A 24,626-nucleotide genomic window follows, 5' to 3' on the forward strand; every position below is an offset into this window, starting at 1 on the left:
TCTCAAAAAAAGAAGAAAGGAAAGGAAAGAAAAGAAAAGAAAAAAGAAAAGAAGGAGAAAGAAAGAAAGAAAGAAAGAAAGAAAGAAAGAGAAGAAAGAAAGAAAGAAAGAAAGAGAAAGAAAGAAAGAAAGAAAGAAAGAAAGAAAGAAAGAAAGAAAGAAAGAAAGAGAAAGAAAGAAAGAAAGAAAGAAAGAAAGAAAGAAGGAAAGAAAGAAGGAAAGAAGGAAGGAAGGAAGGAAGGAAGATGAACTCCCCCCTTCTAAAAAATTTACCAGTTTATTTTCCCCCAGTTTGTGAACAGCCTACACCCATAACTGATGATGCCTTACAAAACTTTACAAAAATATAAAGGATTGTTTTATATTTTCACCTTTGAAAAATGATATTTTAATTGAGAGACCAGAGGCCAAGGGATGGGGAATAGGGAGGGGGATCCTAAAAGATAAAGAAAACTCAATCAGAAATTAATAGGGTGGATTCCATATGTTGTTTAGTAAAATTGGGATTTTTCTCTTTTTAAAAAATATGTATCTCTGGCTTAAAAGTGACCAAAACCTGCTGATTAATTATGGTATTCTCTGGTATCTTTTATCACCTCTATCTGTTCTTATTCTCCTTCTTCTCTGTTGTATATTCTCCTTGCTCAAAAAAAATTTCTAAGAGCATATAAAGTTCCCATTGCAGGGCTTTGCAACAAAAATGGAATGGCAATCTGAAAAGTTCAACAATTATTCCTCCAAAGTCATGCTGTTCATATGAATACAGCTGACAGACTTCTAACAAGAAGGGCAAAATCACAGTTACAATTTAGTAGCTGTAGTATAAACTTGAGCCAAAAATCAAAGTACATGTGAAAGTGATAAGAAACTAGAATTTTTTTAAATGGTCTATCAGCCAAAATAAGAAATACACATGGAGTGATGCAATTGCTAGGCTCAGAGGAACAAAATTTTTGCCTGTGTAATTTGATGTGAAGTAAGAGTTTTCCTGCTCCAAATAAAAAGTAGACACTGAGACAAAATGTGCCTACCTCCCATGGTTTTTTCTTCCTATTCGAATGATCAGAAAATCCCCAAACTTGCCAATTTTTTTTCTAGTGGGCTACAGAAAACACAAAAGTAGAGAACATTTTACATATAGTTAGTTTTCATGGGGGTCTTATTTATCTGGTGCATATTTATTAATCAGAAATCAACCAAAGTTTATCTGTCTTTCTCACCTAAATTGAACTTTAATGATCCTTTACCTGTAGGTGTGACACTTTGAAATAAATATATGCATCTATTGAATCTCTTCCATGTGCTGAGGTGTAAAGAATATTCTTCTTTGACTATTTCAATAGAAAATGGCCATTATCTGAAAACCTTATGAATTCAGCAAATAAAGTATTGTTAGAACAAGCTAATTCAAAAGAACATTGCTTATCCTTGTTAAAAAAAAAAAAAAAACCCATGCACTTTTTTTAGTCTTTACTGCTTATTTGAGCTATTAAAGATATTTCCCAGATAAACTAAAATAAAACTTTAAGTTTTACACAAAAGGCATCTTACACTCCTAACAGAAACCGAGAACATTGTACTTTCTGATTAGATCACTCAGATTCCCCAGCTGATTTAAAAGGTACCCTGTGTAGGGCTGCTCTGGGGTGTATAGAATACAACAGTCCCTTTAAAACAATAACAGAAATGCTTGCAATTCCTTGCAATAGTCCCTTCCCCATCCTTTGAGGTTACAGATAAACTAAATCATCACTGCATGTTATCTTTAACCAGATTCTCATAATATCTGCTCCTTTCCCATTATTATTGTCAAACCCATCTTAATAGAAATTTTGTTTAAAATTACAACCCCTATGGTATTTCAGTAGCAGCAAATTTGAGAAAACTGACTGCAAAAAATAAAAGTCCCAGAGGGTGATGTAGGATTTGGGTCTACAATGAAATACAGCAGATTCCCTAAACTATGCAGGCCTAGCAAAGTCTGTGCCTCCCAGATGCTCTAATCTGCCTTTCTGGTCAACATTCAGAGTAGCCGAAGGCAGATAATCTTATCACTGAACAATCATCACTGAACCATAATGCATAGATTGGTGCCTATATGTGCCAAGTACTATGTTAGGTACTTGAGGTATAAAAATGGGTAAGACACAAGGCCTGCTGTAAGGAAGTTCACAGTGTGGGGTATCTGGGCAGACCAGACTGGTGAAAATACAACTACAAGGCATGCATTGTAGCTGATGCCAAAATAGAAACATGCACAAGAGAACACAGAAAAGGGATTAACTCTGCTTTTGGTGGAGAAGTGGAGAATGATCAAGGAAAGCAAGCAGACCTATTATGATAAGGGCAAGAATAGTTCCCTTTTCATCCAGTTCTGGTGTTTGCTGATCCAGGAGCCATCTATTGATTGCTGGCAGAGGTTTGCAGGTTGATATCCCAAAGTTCTAACAAAGACATAGATCTCCTAGCTTTTAAAGAATATGTTTGCATTTTCTAGCTAACTTACAGTGATTTCACTACTTGACAAAACTGAATAATGATTTCTTTTCCCATCCTTCAGGCCGCAGTAAAAACAGTCAGGGATGGAAAGCTGATCTCAAGATCTCTCTGCTTGTGTATTGTCCAGAATTGTGTATATTTTTACTTCAGCCTTAAAAAGCATGTGCACATATGCAAGTGCCAAAGGCTTATGATGAAAGTAGAAACACAGAAATATGTTCAGACAGGTTTTATGTTCCTTTCGAACGCTGCTATCTGATATCTGGATTCAGCCAAGTTTAACATATCCTTGAACTCACAGATATATCTCAGGTGGCAGCCCAATAAATCCCTGCATAATTTTCCATTGAGCTTATCTGATTAGATAAGCTGTACATTTCTAAGATCTTCCTTAAGAAATAATATTAGATAAAGTGGTCCATTTTATATTACCAAAGAAGCAGCCTGTATTTATTACAGGAAAATCTCAACAGTCGGACATCCATAGATCTGTGAATTCTCTCCTCAATCTTAGCTTTAAATTTCCACACACAACTTTTAGTGTATGAAAAACACTACATTGTCTGTTCCCATTAAAACAAGTTAAGTAGGAGGAACTAAGAGTTTCTAGGAATCATAACATAGAAGATGATATTAATCACACCTCAAAAATGCAAATCTAAAAACAAGACACTTTCTTTGTTGCCTGTTAAATTACTAGAGATTTAAAATGTAGCAGTAACCAGTATATACAAGCATAGAGAGAAACCAATACATATATACTACTAGTAAGAGTTTTCATTTGCTTCACTCTTTTAGAGGCAATTTGGCAATGTATGTGAAAATGTATATACTATTTGACCTACCAACTCCATTTCTAGGAACTTATCCCTATAACAGAATCAGAGATGCACTTTCAATATACTTCAAAAACAACTAAATGTCCAACATTTAGAGATTGACTAAATAAGGTCTGGTACATGCTTATACTAGAGCATTATCATGTTTTTAAAAGAATATTTAATAAAACAGAAAATACTTGCAATATTGTTATAGTAGAAAAACGCAAATTACAAAACACCAAGCATAGCATGATTACATTTTCAATACATATACATACACTCATGTAAGTACAAATATCCAAACAAAAATAGATTGAACATGAACATACTAAAATATTAATATTATGTGTATTACATGATATGGCATACAGTTGTCCCTCTGTATCTGCAGGGGATTGGTTCCAGGACCCCCCTCAGATACCAAAATTTATGGATTCTCAAGTCCCTGACATACAATGGTGTAATATTTGCAGGTGACCTACACACATTCTCCTGTATTCTTTAAATCATCTCTAGATTTCTTATAATATCTAATACAATGTAAGAGCCATGAAAATAGCTGTTACACTGCATTGTTTAGAAAATAATGACAAGGAAAAAAGTCTGTAGATGTTCAGTACAGATGAAATGTTTCTGAATAATTTTGATCCATGGTTGGTTGAATACATAGATATGGAACCCACAGACACAGAGGGTGGACTGTATATCACATCATTTGCAATAATAATATATGTACACGTTAGTTTAAAAATCAGATTTTACTGGAGAGCACAAAGCAATATCCCGGTAGAAAGTGGCAAAGTTGAAATTTTTTATACTTACACACATCATTTCAAGCACTTTGGGGTATAAACAGTCTGATTTCTTAAAAGAAGCTTATTCTATAATGTAAGATAGAATACAAGTGTCAACACACAATTTATCCTTGAAATAAAAAGGATATTTTCACTTTTCCTTTCCCACCCTACTAAGAGAACACACTTATACAAAATAAAGATAAATAGTGTGTTGGCACAACAGCTGCCTTTATGCTTCTAGAACCCTGGTGGATGAAATTAATATCTTTTGTTCATACCCACCATAAATATCAGCAGCCTACTAAGTTAAGCAGAGTATGGTTTCTATGACAACCACTGATCAGGAGTGAAACTCAAAGAAATGACTAATTAACAAAAACCTAATTCAGATATGCCAAGAAAGAAATATTATACATTACTATTTATTTCCATTGCACTTCTTATATAAGCACAGTCATATACAATTTCCCATTACACTTCCCTTGTAGTGTAATTACAAAATTGTAGTTACACTGCCAGATTTAAAATGAGAGGAGAAATGGCTCAGCCAGATATTCAGTGATTATTGTGCGATTGAAGCACTGAAAAATGGGAGAGGTCCTGGAAATACATACCTGGTGACTATCTGCCCAAAATTTGGTAACAAAAGATAGATAATAGTGGTTGCTTAGCAGCTGTTGTTTTAAGAACAAAAACCCTGTTTCTCGCCATATCATCCTTAATTCTTGACAAAGAGAAGTGCCACAAAACTTTGACTCTGCTGGGGGTGAGATTTAAGTGAAGGGTCAATGTTATCTTTTAAATGTTTCGTTTCCAGATAAGCCAGATCCTTAAGAGCATCCTAACGTGTGATTGCAAGGCAATTAGTTCACCTTTTTCCCTTGGGAAAAATAATCTTCACAAAACACCTTCATGTGTGTTAGCGCTATTTGGTGAAATTTCCCATAATTAACACAAATTTGAGCCCAAAAAAATAATAAAGATGGTTATCTTAAAACTTCAGTATATGGGCCAGGCACAGTGGCTCATGCCTGTAATCCCAGCACTTTGGGAGGCCAAGGTGGGCGGATCACAAGGTCAAGAGATCAAGACCATCCTGGCCAATGTGGTGAAATTCCTTCTCTACTAAAAATACAAAAATTAGGTGGGTGTGGTGGTGTGCATCTGTAGTCCCAGCTACTCGGGAGGCTGAGGCAGGAGAATCGCTTGAACCTGGGAGGCAGAGTTCACACTAAGCCAAGATTGTGCCACTGCACTCCAGCCTGGCAACAAAGTGAGACTCTGTGTCAAAAAATAAATAAAAGGAGGGGCTGGAGCCAAGATGGCCGAATAGAAACAGCTCCGGTCTACAGCTCCCAGCGTGAGCGACGCAGAAGACTGGTGATTTCTGCATTTCCATCTGAGGTACTGAGTTCATCTCACTAGGGAGTGCCAGACAGTGGGCTCAGGACAGTGGGTGCAGCACACCGTGCACGAGCCAAAGCAGGGCGAGGCATTGCCTCACTCGGGAAGTGCAAGGGGTCAGGGAGTTCTCTTTCCTAGTCAAAGAAAGGGGTGACAGACAGCACCTGGAAAATCGGGTCACTCCCACCCCAATACTGCGCTTTTCCGACAGGCTTAAAAAACGGCGCACCAGGAGATTATATCCTGCACCTGGCTCAGAGGGTCCTACACCCACAGAGTCTCGCTGATTGCTAGCACAGCAGTCTGAGATCAAACTACAAGGCGGCAGCGAGGCTGGAGGAGGGGCGCCCGCCATTGCCCAGGTTTGCTTAGGTAAACAAAGCAGCCGGGAAGCTCGAACTGGGTGGAGCCCACCACAGCTCAAGGAGGCCTGCCTGCCTCTGTAGGCTCCACCTCTGGGGGCAGGGCACAGACAAACAAAAAGACAACAGTAACCTCTGCAGACTTAAATGTCCCTGTCTGACAGCTTTGAAGAAAGCAGTGGTTCTCCCAGCACACAGCTGGAGATCTGAGAACGAGCAGACTGCCTCCTCAAGTGGGTCCCTGACCCCTGACCCCTGAGCAGCCTAACTGGGAGGCACCCCCAAGTAGGGGCAGACTGACACCTCACACGACCAGGTACTCCTCTGAGACAAAACTTCCAGAGGAACGATCAGACAGCAGCATTCGTGGTTCACGAAAATCCACTGTTCTGCAGCCACTGCTGCTGGTACCCAGGCAAACAGGGTCTGGAGTGGACCTCTAGCAAACTCCAACAGACCTGCAGCTGAGGGTCCTGTCTGTTAGAAGGAAAACTAACAAACAGAAAGGACATCCACACCAAAAACCCATCTGTACATCACCATCATCAAAGACCAAAAGTAGATAAAACCACAAAGATGGGGAAAAAACAGAGCAGAAAAACTCTAAAAAGCAGAGTGCCTCTCCTCCTCCAAAGGAACGCAGTTCCTCACCAGCAACGGAACAAAGCTGGATGGAGAATGACTTTGACGAGTTGAGAGAAGAAGGCTTCAGACAATCAAACTACTCCAAGCTAAAGGAGGAAATTCAAACCAAAGGCAAAGAAGTTAAAAACTTTGAAAAAAATTTAGAAGAATGTGTAACTAGAATAACCAATACAGAGAAGTGCTTAAAGGAGCTGATAGAGCTGAAAGCCAAGTCTCGAGAACTACGTGAAGAATGCAGAAGCCTCAGGAGCCAATGCGATAAACTGGAAGAAAGGGTATCAGTGATGGAAGATGAAATGAATGAAATGAAGCGAGAAGGGAAGTTTAGAGAAAAAAAATAAAAAGAAACGAACAAAGCCTCCAAGAAATACGGGACTATGTGAAAAGACCAAATCTACGTCTGACTGGTGTACCTGAAAGTGACAGGGAGAAAAGAACCAAGTTGGAAAACAGTCTGCAGGATATTATCCAGGAGAACTTCCCCAATCTAGCAAGGCAGGCCAACATTCAGATTCAGGAAATACAGAGAACGCCACAAAGATACTCCTCGAGAAGAGCAACTCCAAGACACATAAGTGTCAGATTCACCAAAGTTGAAATGAAAGAAAAAATGTTAAGGGCAGCCAGAGAGAAAGGTCGGGTTACCCACAAAGGGAAGCCCGTCAGACTAACAGCGGATCTCTCGGCAGAAACTCTACAACCCAGAAGAGAGTGGGGGCCAATATTCAACTTTCTTAAAGAGAAGAATTTTCAACCCAGAATTTCATATCCAGCCAAACTAAGCTTCATAAGTGAAGGAGAAATAAAATACTTTACAGACAAGCAAATGCTGAGAGATTTTGTCACCACCAGGCCTGCGCTAAAAGAGCTCCTGAAGGAAGCACTAAACATGGAAAGGAACAACTGGTACCAGCCACTGCAAAATCATGCCAAATTGTAAAGACCATCAAGGCTAGGAAGAAACTGCATCAACTAACGAGCAAAATAACCAGCTAACATCATAATGACAGGATCAAATTCACACATAACAATATTAACTTTAAATGTAAATGGACTAAATGCTCCAATTAAAAGACACAGACTGGCAAATTGGATAAAGAGTCAAGACCCATCAGTGTGCTGTATTCAGGAAACCCATCTCACGTGCAGAGACACACATAGACTCAAAATAAAAGGATGGAGGAAGATCTACCAAGCAAATGAAAAACAAAAAAAGGCAGGGGTTGCAATCCTAGTCTCGGATAAAACAGACATTAAACCAACAAAGATCAAAAGAGACAAAGAAGGCCATTACATAATGGTAAAGGGATCAATTCAACAAGAAGAGCTAACTATCCTAAATATATATGCACCCAATACAGGAGCACCCAGATTCATAAAGCAAGTCCTGAGTGACCTACAAAGAGACTTAGACTCCCACACAATAATAATGGGAGACTTTAACACCCCACTGTCAACATTAGACAGATCAACCAGACAGAAAGTTAACAAGGATACCCAGGAATTGAACTCAGCTCTGCACCAAGCAGACCTAATAGACATCTACAGAACTCTCCACCCTAAATCAACAGAATATACATTTTTTTCAGCACCACACCACACCTATTCCAAAATTGACCACATAGTTGGAAGTAAAGCTCTCCTCAGCAAATGTAAAAGATCAGAAATTATAACAAACTGTCTCTCAGACCACAGTGCAATCAAACTAGAACTCAGGATTAAGAAACTCACTTAAAACCGCTCAACTACATGGAAACTGAACAACCTGCTCCTGAATGACTACTGGGTACATAACGAAATGAAGGCAGAAATAAAGATGTTCTTTGAAACCAAAGAGAACAAAGACACAACATACCAGAATCTCTGGGACACATTCAAAGCAGTGTGTAGAGGGAAATTTATAGCACTAAATGCCCACAAGAGAAAGCAGGAAAGACCCAAAATTGACACCCTAACATCACAATTAAAAGAACTAGAAAAGCAAGAGCAAACACATTCAAAAGCTAGCAGAAGGCAAGAAATAACTAAAATCAGAGCAGACCTGAAGGAAATAGAGACACAAAAAACCCTTCAAAAAATTAATGAATCCAGGAGCTGCTTTTTTGAAACAATCAACAAAATTGATAGACCGCTAGCAAGACTAATAAAGAAGAAAAGAGAGAAGAATCAAATACACACAATAAAAAATGATAAAGGGGATATCACCACCGATCCCACAGAAATACAAACTACCATCAGAGAATACTACAAACACCTCTACGCAAATAAACTAGAAAATCTAGAAGAAATGGATAAATTCCTCGGCACATACACGCTCCCAAGACTAAACCAGGAAGAAGTTGACTCTCTGAATGACCAATAACAGGCTCTGAAATTGTGGCAATAATCAACAGCTTACCAACCAAAAAGAGTCCAGGACCAGATGGATTCACAGCCGAATTCTACCAGAGGTAGAAGGAGGAACTGGTACCATTCCTTCTGAAACTATTCCAATCAATAGAAAAAGAGGGAATCCTCCCTAACTCATTTTATGAGGCCAGCATCATCCTGATACCAAAGCCAGGCAGAGACACAGCCAAAAAAGAGAATTTTAGACCAATATCCTTGAGGAACATTGATGCAAAAATCCTCAATAAAATACTGGCAAACCGAATCCAGCAGCACATCAAAAAGCTTATCCACCAGGATCAAGTGGGCTTCATCCCTGGGATGCAAGGCTGGTTCAATATACGCAAATCAATCAATGTAATCCAGCATACAAACAGAACCAAAGACAAAAACCACATGATTATCTCAATAGATGCAGAAAAGGCCTTTGGCAAAATTCAACAACGCTTCATGCTAAAAACTCTCAATAAATTAGGTATTGATGGGACGTATCTCAAAATAATAAGAGCTATCTATGACAAACCCACAGCCAATATCATACTGAATGGGCAAAAACTGGAAGCAATCCCTTTGAAAACTGGCACAAGACAGGGATGCCCTCTCTCACCACTCCTATTCAACGTAGTGTTGGAAGTTCTGGCCAGGGCAATTAGGCAGGAGAAGGAAATAAAGGGTATTCAATTAGGAAAAGAGGAAGTCAAACTGTCCCCTTTTGCAGATGACATGATTGTATATCTAGAAAACCCCATTGTCTCAGCCCAAAATCTCCTTAAGCTGATAAGCAACTTCAGCAAAGTCTCAGGATACAAAATCAATGTGCAAAAATCACAAGCATTCTTACACACCAATAACAGACAAAAAGAGAGCCAAATCATGAGTGAATTCCCACTCACAATTGCTTCAAAGAGAATAAAATACCTAGGAATACAACTTACAAGGGACGTGAAGGACCTCTTCAAGGAGAACTACAAACCACTGCTCAATGAAATAAAAGAGGATACAAACAAATGGAAGAACATTCCATGCTCGTGGGTAGGAAGAATCAATATCGTGAAAATGGCCCTACTGCCCAAGGTAATTTATAGATTCAATGCCATCCCCATCAAGCTACCAACGACTTTCTTCACAGAATTGGAAAAAACTACTTTCAAGTTCATATGGAACCAAAAAAGAGCCCACATCGCCAAGTCAATCCTAAGCCAAAAGAACAAAGCTGGAGGCATCACGCTACCTGACTTCAAACTATACTACAAGGCTACAGTAACCAAAACAGCATGGTACTGGTACCAAAACAGAGATATAGATCAATGGAACAGAACAGAGCCCTCAGAAATAACGCCGCATACCTACAACTATCTGATCTTTGACAAACCTGACAAAAACAAGCAATGGGGAAAGGATTCCCTATTTAATAAATGATGCTGGGAAAACTGGCTAGCCATATGTAGAAAGCTGAAAATGGATCCCTTCCTTACACCTTATACAAAAATTAATTCAAGATGGATTAAAGACTTAAACGTTAGACCTAAAACCATAAAAACCCTAGAAAAAAACCTAGGCATTACCATTCAGGACATAGGCATGGGCAAGGACTTCATGTCTAAAACACCAAAAGCATTGGCAACAAAAGCCAAAATTGACAAATGGGATCTAATTAAACTAAAGAGCTTCTGCACAGCAAAAGAAACTACCATCAGAGTGAACAGGCAACCTACAAAATGGGAGAAAATTTTCACAACCTACTCATCTGACAAAGGGCTAATATCCAGAATCTACAATGAACTCAAACAAATTTACAAGAAAAAAACAACCCCATCAAAAAGTGGGTGAAGGATATGAACAGACACTTCTCAAAAGAAGACATTTATGCAGCCAAAAAACACATGAAAAAATGCTCACCATCACTGGCCATCAGAGAAATGCAAATCAAAACCACAATGAGATACCATCTCACACCAGTTAGAATGGCAATCATGAAAAAGTCAGGAAACAACAGGTGCTGGAGAGGATGTGGAGAATTAGGAACACTTTTACACTGTTGGTGGGACTGTAAACTAGTTCAGCCATTGTGGAAGTCAGTGTGGCAATTCCTCAGGGATCTAAAACTAGAAATACCATTTGACCCAGCCATCCCATTACTGGGTATATACCCAAAGGATTATAAATCATGCTGCTATAAAGACACATGCACACGTATGTTTATTGCGGCACTATTCACAATAGCAAAGACTTGGAACCAACCCAAATGTCCAACAATGATAGACTGGATTAAGAAAATGTGGCACATATACACCATGGAATACTATGCAGCCATAAAAAATGATGAGTTCATGTCCTTTGTAAGGACATGGATGAAATTGGAAATCATCATTCTCAGTAAACTATTGCAAGGACAAAAAACCATACTCCGCATATTCTCACTCGTAGGTGGGAATTGAACAATGAGAACACATGGACACAGGAAGGGGAACATCACACTCTGGGGACTGTTGTGGGGTGGGGGGAGGGGGGAGGGATAGCTTTAGGAGATATACCTAATGCTAAATGACGAGTTAATGGGTGCAGCACACCAGCATGGCACATGTATACATATGTAACTAACCTGCACATTGTGCACATGCACCCTAATACTTAAAGTATAATAATAATACAATAAAATAAAATAAAAATATCAAAACAGAAATAAATAAAGAAAAGAAAAAAAAACCCTCCAGCATATGGACATTTCACTTGGAGGAGGTCATGGGTGTTATGCTTTAAGAGGGACTGCAGCAGAAGTGGGTGACCCCTCCAGGGAAGTCTCCCTTTTGGCCTCAGAGAGAGGAGAGGTGGGGATGTGACCATTCAGTCTCCTTCCTTGCTACTCATTGGCCTCTTTCTGCCTCTTTTTGAGTAGAATTCCAAATCTATTTAGTATAGATTTAATAAAGCATTTGTATTCACAACCTCTTCTTCAAGGATGTGCACCAAGAAACCAATGGATGCTCAAGCAGAACTGCAAAATTGTTAAGAAAAATAAGGGAAAATTTGACCCAACATATAAATCTCCTATTATATATCATTTCTGTGATAAATCTGATACTCAGGTATACAACTTTATTCTTTGAGGTTTTCTAGGCCCTAAAGAATAGGCTGCAAGCAAAGATCTGATATCCTTGAATTAAACACCATAAAACAGAAAACTAAATTAGACCAATTTCTAAATAACCCTTTATAAGTAGTAAAATATATTTAAAACATTAAACAAAAATGGTAAGTTAAGCAACTGCTCCTGGGCCTCTCTGAGGCCCACAGTTTAATATCTCTCAAAGGATGCAGCAATTTACAGGTATATTCTCCACCAAAAAAAAAAAAAAATGTTGGCTTTAACTCAAAAGTTAACCTCAGGTCTCATATATTCCAAATTTCCTTCTGACAAGCAGAAATGAAGAAAGCTTGTCCACTTAATTACAGAGAAGGAAAAACTAATACAAACTTAATCATATATCTTCAGTAAGAGGTCCCAAAACAATTAAAGTGAAGAAGGGACATAATAACATTCACAGTGCTCCCATTGTTTGCAATGTCACAGCAGAAAAAAAAAATGCCCCAACACCAAACCCCTAGATAGTTTTCAAAGGATGAAGATCAATGCTGAAAATTCAACAAGTATATCAGGATCACCTCCCCGCCACCACTGCCACACACACAGATATCACCAGTTTCACAATTTCCCTCCATTTATGAATTTAGCAAGCATTTGTTGAGTGTGTGCCAGGCATTGCAATTAAACTGTGTATCAGCGAAGATTTTAGGTTACAAACAACAGAATCCACTCTGGCAAGGCAAAAAGAATTTATTAAACAGTATTAAATGGATCAAGACTCTCCGGAAGGGCAAGAAAGCCAAACCCTGAAGCTACACCACCAGGGATGATGCTCAACCATAGCCCTGAAGGAAAACATTGATTACACCAATACTCAGTACCTATGACCCTTAGGACTGGAGGCAAGGAACTCTGCCACTGTCCCCTCCTGCATTAGGTTATTCTTGCATTGCTATAAGAAATACCTAAGACTGAGTACTTTATAAAGAAAAGAGGTTTAATTGGCTTACAGTTCTGCACGCTGTACAAGCATAGTACCAACATTGCTCAGCTCCTGGGGAGGCCTCAGGGAGATTTTACTCATGTAAAGCTCTGTTACGGCTCTGCCTCTGTGGCAGGCTCTTTCTTGGACACCCAGACTTCCTTAAACATCCTCTGAAACGTAGGTGGAGGCTACCAAGAGTCAGCTCTTGCACTCTGCACCCACAGGCTTAACACCACGTGGAAGCCATCAAAGCTCACAGCTCACATTCTCCAAAGTGGCAGCTCAAGCTGTACTTGGGCCCCTTTGAGCTCTGGCTGGAGCTAGAGTGGCCTGGATGTAGAAACAGTGTCCCAAGGCTGCTTAGGGCAGTGAGGCCCTGGGGTCTAGCACCTGAAACCATTCAATTCTCCTAGGCCTCTGGGCCTGTGATGGGAGGAATAGCCTGGAAATTTTCTGGAATGCTTTCAAGGTCTCTTCCACATTGTCTTGGATATTAGCACTTAGTTCCCTTTTATTTATGCAAATATCTCTAGGAAGTGGTTGCTCTGCAGTCTGCTTGAATTCTTCTCCTGTAAAAGCTTTTTCTTTCTTTGCCACATGACCAGGCTGTAAAATTTTCCAAACTTTTACACTTTGCTTCCTGTTTAAATATAAATTCTAACTTAAAGTAATTTCTTTGCTTCTGCATCTGAGTGTAGAGTATTAGAAGCAGCCAGGCTACATTTTGAACATTTTGCTACTTAGATATTTCTTCTTCCAGATACCCTAAATCAGTGGTCCCCAACCTTTTTTGTACTAGAGGCCAGTTTTGTGGAAGACAATTTTTCCACAGACTGGCAGGGGCTAAGGGGGATGGTTTGGGGATGAAAATTCCACCTCAGATCATCAGGTATTAGATTCTTATAAGGAGTGTGCAACCTAGATCTCTCAAATGTGCAGTTCACAATAGGGTTCACTCTCCTATGAGAATCTAATACCACGGTTGATCTAACAGGAGGTGGAGCTCAGGCAGTAATGCTCACTCACCTACTGCTCACCTCTTGCTGTGTGGCTCAGTTCCTAACAGGACACAAACTGGTACTGGTCTGCGACTTAGGGGTTGGAGACCCTTGCCCTAAATCATTGCTCTTAAGCTCAAACTTCCACAGATCCCTAGGTCATGAACAGAATGCAGCCAAGTTTTTTGCTAAGGCATACTAAGAGTGACCTTTGCTCAAGTTCTTAATAAGTTCTTCATTTCCATCTGAAACCTCATCAGCCTGGACTTCACTGTCCGTATTACTATCAGCATTTTGGTCACAACCATTTCACCAGTCTCTAAAACATTCCAAACTTTCCCTCATCTTCCCGTCTTCTTTTGAGCCCTCCATACTCTTCCAGCCTCTGCCCATTATCCAGTTCCAAAGCTGCTTCCACATTTTCAGGTATCTTTATAGCAATGCCCACTCCTTGGTACCAATTTTTTTTTATTAGGCCATTGTTGTGTTACTATAAAGAAATACCCACAACTGGATAATTTATAAAGAAAAGAGGTTTAATTGGCTCACAGTTCTGGAGGCTGTACAAGCATGGCACCAACACTGCTCAGCTTGTAGGGAGGCCTCAGGGAGCTTTTACTCATGGTGGAAGGCAAAGCAGGAGCAGACATCTCATATGGTGAAAGCAAGAGCAAGAAAGAGAGTAAAGCGGGAAGTACCACACACTTTTGAACAATCAAATCCTGTGTGAATTCAGAGCAAGAGCTCACTTACCACCAAAGAGATGGCCCACACCGTTCATGATGAATTTGCTCTCATGACCCAAACATATCCCACCAGGCCCCACCTCCAACACTAGGGATTACAATTCAACATGAGATTTGGCAGGGATATACATTTAAACTGTATCACCTCCCTTGTTTAACTCCACTATCAACCTTAGTGGAAAACTGATTCCCTTTCATACAGCCATCTCTTTGCCTGGCTCACTCCAAACTCACCTTTCATGGGCCATGTAGTCATGCAGCCAAAGTCACAGCCCTGCCCCCTAGCCCCAAAGGAATCTGACATATGCATTTTCTGGCTTCTATCTTGAAAAGGCATGTCTCATAATATGGTAAATAACCAAAAGGTTGGCTGAGCACAACTGTTCACTCTAAAGAATGACATAGTCTGCCAATATCGAGCACTCAATGCAGTATAATAGCATATGAACAAAAGCCAAAACCAAAAGACTCTATGCAGTGATTATCAGGCATCATGCAGACCTTTCTGAATAGTGATATAATTAAAAATATTTATGTTAAACAATATATAAGGTTTATGTGATTTGAGATTTTTCTTCCCTAGAGAGTCATCTTCTCTACCTATTTTCAGTTTCATACTTGACATAAATCAGCCCAGTTTTTGGCTATGGACTAATTATGTCAAAAAAGAAAAAAAAGAAAGAAAGAAAGCCATTATATTTTAAAATATTTCTTAGATAGATACTTTTGTGCTAGTTCCTGGGACTCTGTGTGTAGCCTCACTGCAGAGAAAATGGACTTCGAAGCCAAACATACCTGGATTCAAATCCCACCTCTACCATTACTAGCTGCGTGTTCTTGGGCAGGCTATTCACTTCCTTAAGCCTTAGTTTCTGCTTCTGTTGTACCTAGTATGTATATTTGTTTAGAAAAATCAAAAAGAAACAAGGCACAAATATTTAGCACTGTTGGATATTACTGATGCCATTATTTCATCCTTACAATGGCACTATGAACAGTGTTATTCCCATTTGAATTGATAAAGAAGAATCTGAAGCTCAGAAAGCTGAAGTCACTTGCCCAAGGTAATACCAGAGCGGTGTTGGGGTTTGAACCTAGGTTTTCTAATGTCAAGTTAGGCCTTTTTCCACTATGTCACTTGCTAAGTCTTAAAAGCCATTACAAATAAGAACACAATGACTACTGTCAACTTTCAGAAACTCTTCACTCTACCTATTCTGCAAAATTGTCATTTTTTTCCATTTGCTAGTAGGAAAAGAAAAAAGTATAAATAAATAAATAAATAAATAAGTGAATGCTTTTTCCCCAGTCTTTAGGGCCCCAAATATTTAGGACTAGAAGGAAATTTAGAAGCCAGCCTTTCTAGCTTCCTGAAACCTATTTCACCCTAGGGCCATTTTATCTTTGTTTGGATTTTCCCTGGTTTCTTTTGTTTCTTTTTGTCTTCTGTCATTATAGGCAGGACCTGGAGACAAAAGTAAGGCAACCACAAAACCCTGAGTGTCATCCAAGCAAAATGTAAGAAGAGAGAGAATGTGCCTCTTGCTCAATTGGTGGCACTTATAGCTATTGGCATTTCCAACATTGGCATTTCCCAAAGAGTATTCCCTGGAACACCTACTTTCTCAGGATGCTAGTAGATATTCCATAAAGAAAGTATTCTTTGGTCAAGTAAGCTTGGAAAATGTGGGAGTAAACAAAGTTAAACAGGTTTGCTCAAAACTTTTAATGTGCTAATGAACATGATGAATACACAAAATGAAGTTACTGTACGGAGCGTTAAATTTTTCAGCCACAGAACCTTTTTTTCCCCAAAGAATCTAACAGGACTAGAGAACTATAGGACATACGTGAGAAACACTGGGAGAGGAAAGGAATTTGCCATCAGAATACATAGAAAAAAATGAGCTAAGCTTCCAGCACCAGACAGGGAAGAAGGAGTTCTGATCCTCTGGCTCAAATATCTAGCCTGCTTGGCATGAATTCTGATGCTGTGGGTGGATGCATCAAGTTATATGGCTTGATGCGCTTGGTATTAATATTGACAAGCTCACTCTCCATGCTCATTATGCAACCTTTTGATTATATTTTAGCTTCCTCCATAGCCTTCCTACAGAGAGAAATGCTAGGCAAGCTGGTATAAATGTCTGGTGCACTTAAGAGTTATATTTATTGTTGGAAAGCAATACAAATATTTCATCCAGCCAACAAAAGTGTGTAGCCAATTTAACAGATAATTTCTCAGTATAAGCCAAACTGTTATCACTTTGATTTACACAACCTTTTCTGAGTTTTGTGGGCATGAGATAGTTAGTCTTCAAGGGTTCCTAGGTACTGAAAAAAATTGTTTCCAAATCTGCAATTTTAAGACTAGATAGAACCTGGGCCCTATTGTCTTTGAGGTAATGCGACCTTGACACTTTGCCTGGGAAGCATCCCCTTGAGGGTTTGTAGTGCCCCTTTAAGATTAGACATTAAGGTCCCTTATGTTTTATAGCTATGACTTGCTATCCCCTATACCTCAGATTCTTAAAGAAATAGCTTCAAAATGAAATAAAAATCCAGTTTTCCTGATTTGTCTTACGCACTGTCTCAGTCCATTTTCTGTTGCTTATTATAGAATACCTGAAACTGGGTAATTTGTAAAGAAAAGGAATTTATTTCTTACAGTTATGGAGGCTAGGAAGTCCAAGGTCGAGGCGGCACATCTGGTGAGAGCTTTCTTGCTGGTGGAGATTTTCTGAAGAGTCCTAAGGTGGTGCAGAGCATCACATGGTGAGGAGGAGCTCAGTGTGCTAACGTGCTAACTCAGGTCTCTCTCCCTCTGCTTATAAAGCCACCAGTTCCCCTCCCATGATAACCCATTCATCCATTAACCCATTAATCTCTGAATGGATCCATCCATTCATGAGGCCAGAGCCCTCATGACCCAATCACCTCTTATGGCCCCACCTTTCAATACTACCACACTGGGGATTAAATTTCCATAAGAATTTTGGAGGGGACAAATATTCAAACTCACCAATGAGCAGTTCTAGGGTTCAAGTTTTGAAGGTATGTGCCCAGGCAAGCATAGTCCATTTACTCTAACTGGCAAAATCTCCACAATGAAAACCAGAGGAACTCCTGCATACTACATAGAAAAAGCATACATCCCATCCTGCAGACAGGGTCAATCTTCCCCTGAATGTGCCAAGCTTCAAGTTGGAAAATCCATGCAAGGAGCCAGCTCTGTACCAGTCAGCTCTGCCCACAGGGATGCCTGGATTGTGAATCTCTCTTGGAGAGGGGCTTACATTCCTCCTTTGAACAGGCACACCTGTTTTCTCTACTAACTTCACTGCTTCAGTCACTCATGCCCTGGGGAAAGCAGTTGTAAGAAATAGCAGATGCAGAATTTACACAGCGAAGAGCATTCCATCCCTTCAGTTTACAAATTCTGCAGAAAATGACCGAAGTGGTGCAGGACTATTTTATGAACTATGACCTCAAGCCGCTCATTGAAAATGCAGTTGCCATCAAATTGTTCTTTGCAGGTTTCAATTTTAAATGATGAACACATTTTGGGTAAGTTACACTTAAACCAGCCACACTTGCATTACACAGTTCTTTGCAAAATAGTTCATATTTTGTATGGTTACATTATTACTTCCATTTTACAGATGAAAGGGAAACTGAGACACAAGCACCTTGCCCAAAAGTTTTGCAAAATGACACAGAACAAATAAGACTGTTGTCTATTTCAAATAGAAAAATCTAAAGAGGAATTGCCATAAAGCAGACTGATCAGAGGCGTGGAGTTTGCAGTGTTTTTCCCTGTTGGTCAAAGTCTCCCTTCAAATGGATTTGCCTGGTAAGACATGCATGAAATTGACCTCTGAGGATAGAGTCTGGCTCTCTGGTGCCATCAATGTTATTAAAAATAGAAAATTATCCCCTGGCTATTTCTAGCTAGAAGGCTCAGGAATGAAGAGAGTAAGATTATTTAATAAGTATCAAAGGGTAGATAATCCAGCAAGAGTAAAAAATAAACATCAAAAATCACTTTACTTCTGAGTAGTCTGGCAGAAAAGCTTCAAATGGGAAGGATCCCCACAGACATCAGAGCTGGATCCCGGCTTGGGCAGGTGAGCACAAAGAAAGGTCCCAGACAAACAAGGACAAATGAAGGAAGGGAAAGGAGTGGAAGAGAACAAGGGATAACTCGGGTCTGCAAGCAAATGTATGAATAAGAGACAAGACTCTTTAAACCAGGATAAGCAAGTGCAATTGTTTCATTATTTTTAAGAATACTCCTGCATTTCATAAACTATTAGTGTCTGTGAGATTAACAGAATGTATTTTAATTTCTCCAAGTTTATTTCACAACAGAAAATTCAATAAATTCTCTGTTGTGAAGTTCAAGAAATTTTTTTTCTTTTTTTGAGACGGAGTTTCTCTCTTGTTGCCCAGGCTGGAGTGCAGTGGCGCGATCTCAGCTCACTGCAACCTCTGCCTCCCAGGTTCAAGTGATTCTCCTGCCTCAGCCTCCCACGCTGCTGGGATTACAGGTGCCCACCACCACGCCCAGCTTGCTTGCTTATTTATTTACTTATTTATTTATTTATTTAATTTGTATTTTTAGTAGAGATGGGGTTTCACCATGTTGGCCAGACTGGTCTTGAACTCCTGACCTCAGGTGATCCACCCACCTTGGTCTCCCAAAGTTCTGGGATTACAGGCGTGAGCTACCGCATGTGGCTGAGAAATGTTTTTAATACAAAACCTGTGCTTCCCCCATATTAGTGGGTCCTTCAATCTGGATGCACCTCAGAATCACTGGGGGACCTTGCAAAAAATCAATTCAGGGATCATCTCTGCTAATTCCAAATCTTCAGGGGAGCTGCAAAAATCAAAGCTTTTTTTTTTCAAACGTTACTCAAGGTTTTGTGGTCCACAGATGACATTTGGGGACTTCTCCCCCAGGTATGCCAGTTTCAGGGTTACCTGAAGAAACACGTGTAGCTGTGGGATCTGGCACATCCAGTCCACAGCACCTTCTTCCATTGCTCAAGGATCTTCTCAATGTCTCACCAGGACTCTGTCTACTATTTCAGCCCTCATCTGGGCTGTCACGTATAATCCATTCTCCTCCTTGTGATCGTGCACTCCCCACCCGGCCTGCTGGGGATGTCCCTGGCTAAAGCTGTGCTCCTACCACTCTCTGCCTGATGCAGTCACCCAGGGTAGAGTGACCCAAGCCACTCTTTTGCCATCGCTGGAGGTTGTTCTACGTTAAGGAGAGGGCCCTCCACCCACAAGGTTTAACATTTTTCATTAAGTCACAAAAAAACAGTAATCCATGCATTTAAACAGGGTTTCCAAAATTCCTTTTTAGGAATTTGGTATCAGTTTTCTTGAGATCGGGGTTGGTGGGGGATTGGTCCAAAGATAATAGAGCATTTGAGTCATGTCACCCCATGAGACCCTGGAAACCATCCCTCAGTTACTCAGTTACCACTCTTGCCTGCTCAGAGGTAGCCCTGCCCTCTCAGGAGTGACGGGGCTACACTTCTTGGTCTCCCTTGTTAGGAAGGAGAGCCAGGGCTCTCTCAGGGGACCCCCAGAGCTCATGCACACACACGCTTGGCAGCCTGGTCCAGCACACCCAGTTCCCCCAAGGGGCACACAGAATAATAAGATCCCCCTTATCAAAGGAAATGTTCCCCAATGCTTGACTTTGTCTGTTGCTCTTCTTCCCAGCTGCGCCTTAAAGTGCCTGCACATATTCCCTCAAGGACATGGGCACCCTCCCAGGTGCTATGAGGCATCTCCCCTCCGCATTTCTCCCTCTTTGCTTTTGAAAGGTTAGGGGAGAGGGAGGGAGAGGGAGAGAGAAGGAGAGAGAGACAGAGAGAGAGAGAGAGAGACAGAGAAAGAGAGAGAGAAAGTGAGTGCCACAGGTAACTACAGTTTCACAAAATGTTAATAATTGCTTTGTACAGAAGGTTCCATAGTGGAAACTATTAGCAAAACACTGGATTAAAAACAACTTACTTCCTGTAGGACTTTCAGAGCCTCTAACAGGCTAACATGCACTTTAAGTATCTAAGTAAAGAACCCAGTATATAGCTTTTTCTACCCTTATTTGGCCATGGTTTTATTTTTGTTTTTGTTTTCTCAGAACACCTCAAGAAACCGATGCTCCATAGAATTCATTTTAAGTAGAGAAATTCATATTATGTAGAATAAAAACTGCCATTTGTTAAACAAATTCATGAATATTTCAACACCAGGACATTCTTACTTATTTTGACCCACATAGAACTTAAAACAATTCCCAATATACATTTGTGTGTACATTCATATCACTTATATTTGTGGATCTTAGTAAATAATTAATCTCATGATTTGTGTCCAAATTGCAGCAAAGTGCCACATCAACCAACTCAATAAAAAATGAAAATATGTTAAAATATATACTATATAGATACCCAAATATAAGGCACCTGTTTTTAAAACCCAAAGTTAACTGTTAAGGATGTAATCTTATATTTCCATCTTTATGTATACTTTATATTATGGGATATACTCTCAATTACATTATTTAATCAAAAATTAAATAATTAGACTAAAAGAACACAATCAAACTAATTTAGAATACTTATAGAAGTCACCTGATAGAACTGGTCTTTTTAAAAAGTTGGAGAGACAAAGAAATTTCACCCAGATTAATTGCAAATATTATGTGTCATTTCAAAGGAACTTTTAAAAAAACATTTTAAGAAGTCGTAGAGTAAAGGTTACATTTGTGCAGATCACAACTATACATGTAGAAAATAAATGAAAAACAAAATAATTCCCCAATGTTATATAAATGGCAAACTGTGGCTTGGCATACACAGATTCAAACACTCTATCTCTGAAACAGACAGAGGTGAGGACCATGTGTTCTGATAAATTGTGTTACAGGGCTAGAAAGAAGGCCTATATGTCACAGATAGGGGTGAAGAGTTTTAATAAAATATCTAGTTTCTTAAACTATGAGAGTGAACAATGCAGTATTTCTAAATTAAAAACATTTTATATTGAAGACAATTTTGAATATTTGCAACTACATTGATAAACTCAGTATATAATTAGTCAAGTGACTAATCCATATCCCTAAAAGTTAACATAACCACTTTATTTTTTAAAAGGTATTTTTATTAAGAAGGTAAAAGATTCCTGTATATTCAGGGTCTCTCTAAGCCCCAGTAATATTATAGACACTCCACTGTATTATGAGCAACCATCAAGGCCTGCTTTGAAAGAGTTTTTTCTAATCCACAAGATTTCTAGAACTTTCAAGGAGGCTACACCTCTCTCGGTACTTGTCAGAGTCCGCTCCCCAAATGAGTAGCCTACTTTCCTTAATTTAATGAGCTCTGTGCAGGAAGAAAGCTGTTTAAAAAAAATGTACTTACACATGTAAGAAAATGGTGGATGATACAGAGCCATACATTGTTCTTTTTTCCAGTGTCCACAGCTTGTGAGTGAGATCTTGTCCCTCAGTTAATGGTTCAGTATTCAGAATATTCTTTTTCTTGAGTTTTGGATACCACTCTGTGAGCTAGGAGCCATTTATCATATAATATTCTCTTTACTCTACAGGACTCTTCCCTGTCTATCAGCCCCCTCCACCATACCCCTTCTCTTGGCTCCATGCTTGGGGAGCCGAGAGAGGCCAGTTATCAGCACGACGTAATTGCCAACTGCTGAGTCCATTAGGAAGGGCAGGCGAGAAATCTCTCATTAACTAAAGCATAAACTTTCTTCTTATCTACAGGATTCTTATCTAAGTTCAGGCTATTGTGCCACAAATAGAACCCACAGGCCAGATATAAATATTAATGTTTGTGTTAAAAGTCCTTCAAATATGGCTGGTACTATCTCTAAAGACCTACACATATGATATAATTTACTTCCTCATCAAACAAAATTCTTGGCTGTGACTTCATCAGGAATGGAAGAAAAACAAAGGGAGGCCTGGGCAGCCCCCTCTGCCTTATACCAGCTCATTTTGGGTACAGTATCTTCCAAAATGGATTTGGATTTGGAGATCCAATTATACTGAGCATTTTTTTTCCTTCTTATTACAGACATAGACAACTGAAATTCACATAAGTGATGCTGGCTGGCAGAAGAAAGTTCAGAATCCCTCATCCCTTTCTTCTCTCTGCCAGGCTCACACACCCCGTCAAAGGAGAAAGCACAATTTTGCTGACCCTTTCAGGGACAAGTTGCCCTGGAACAAGTGAGCAAGCCAACTCTTGAGAATACTCTGGAAAAGCAAACAGTGGATTATCTTGGATGTGTCAGTCCCGTAGGCAGGTTTTCCCACTTAACGCTGGCACTCTTTTCTGCTTTGGGATTGCCAGACATGACTCCACCAGCAGGCACCCCACTCCCAGTCCCAGCTGTGTCCATTCCTCGTTCCAGAAGACACATACACATCTCAACTAGACAGTTATTTTAAATAGTCTACTCATAACTATGATTTTCAAGAATGTTGCAGCTGGAAAGTGAGGGGAAAAGGGCTTACAGATTATCCAGTCCAGAGGCTACAAATTCAAATTCTTAATGGGGTCAGAGAGGTACTGGAAAGGAGTGAAGCAAGCCATATATGAGACAATATGGAAAGGTGAGGACTGTGGCAAACCACCTAAAAATGGTCCCTCTGATTAGAATCAAACATTCCCATTTCAACAAAGAAACTAAGTCCCAAAGAAGTAAAGTAATCTGTCAGGATGAAAATTCAGTTTAGCTCATTTTCCACTAAACAGGTTATGCCTAGGCAAGAAGGGGAGAGTACAACGTTCTCCAAATCTGGTCTGGGGGTACATAAACCTTTGTTTTAGACTATTAAAAATGCCATCCTCCCAGGTATGTACCCTCCCAGTTTTACTCCACCCCATGGGCTGTGGTCAAGACCACATTCATTCTCAGGAATGTTCTGTCTGGGGAGAATTGCCGGGATATGATCTGTGGTCAGTGAGAAAGCCCTTTTGATCCCAGCCACAAGAATGCAGCTGAGCTCTGAATCCCTCTCTCCATAAATCAGAGTCCTCTTAGGAATGGCTGGGTGTGGCTCCCCACACAGGTGCTTGGTCACTTCAGCAATCCTAAGGGGGCACTCCTTCACTTTGAAAGTCTTCTAGGAGCTGCTGGAATCAAAATGGTAAATCCAGAAGACTCTGTGTTCACAGACAAATTCTTCCCGACTTTCTGGGCATCTGTTTTGTTCATTCCTAGCACCCAGGTGTGAGTGCCTGTCTGCCTTGCTTCTGTTTGCTATTTTGTGTCTCACCTTCAACCCAGAATCTGACTCAGCTTGGGAACACTAGCCAAAGAGTCTTATGTGTACACTGCTTTTAATGTGTCCAAGGATGCAGAAGGAAGCAGCTATTCAAATAGTTTAAGAAGTCTGAATACTGCTGTAGCCTCAGATCCTGGGTCCAAAGAGCTGACTGAAGACTGGCTGGAAAATTTGGAATCTTCTCTCCAGGGGATGCCCATGTGCCTCTGGGAGGGGAGCTCTTCCCTTAGCCAGCAATGAACTTCCTGAACAGACCAGCCATGAGATCAGCATGATACACCTGCCAGGAGGACTTAAGGCCAGGTCCACTTATGAAGACTCAGATGTTCATGGTAGCTATGATGTTTTGCAATGGGCCAGTCATGCCCTGGGAGTCTCAAGAGTGCATCTTAATTTCTACATTCATGAAGATATAATAATAGGAACATTTACTAAATACTCAATGGGTTCTAGGTACCCTGATAAGTACTTTACAGAGACTACCTCATTTAATTCTCACATCAGCCCTATGAAGTTAGTTACCACTATTGCAATCTCTGTTATATGGTTGTAGAAATTG

General features: G+C 39.9%; 1 annotated feature.

Annotated features, from left to right (window-relative positions):
• Nucleotides 23,126-24,325: an enhancer, noted in NCBI's record as "CDK7 strongly-dependent group 2 enhancer chr14:54718298-54719497 (GRCh37/hg19 assembly coordinates)". NCBI's record gives its function as "activates an origin of replication core promoter dependent on BRD2, BRD4, P300/CBP, MED14 and CDK7 cofactors, with strong dependence on CDK7, by STARR-seq in HCT116 cells {active_cell/tissue: HCT116}" and the evidence as "EXISTENCE:reporter gene assay evidence [ECO:0000049][PMID:35650434]".

Source organism: Homo sapiens, chromosome 14, assembly GCF_000001405.40.
Source record: "Homo sapiens chromosome 14, GRCh38.p14 Primary Assembly".
Lineage (NCBI taxonomy): Eukaryota > Metazoa > Chordata > Mammalia > Primates > Hominidae > Homo > Homo sapiens.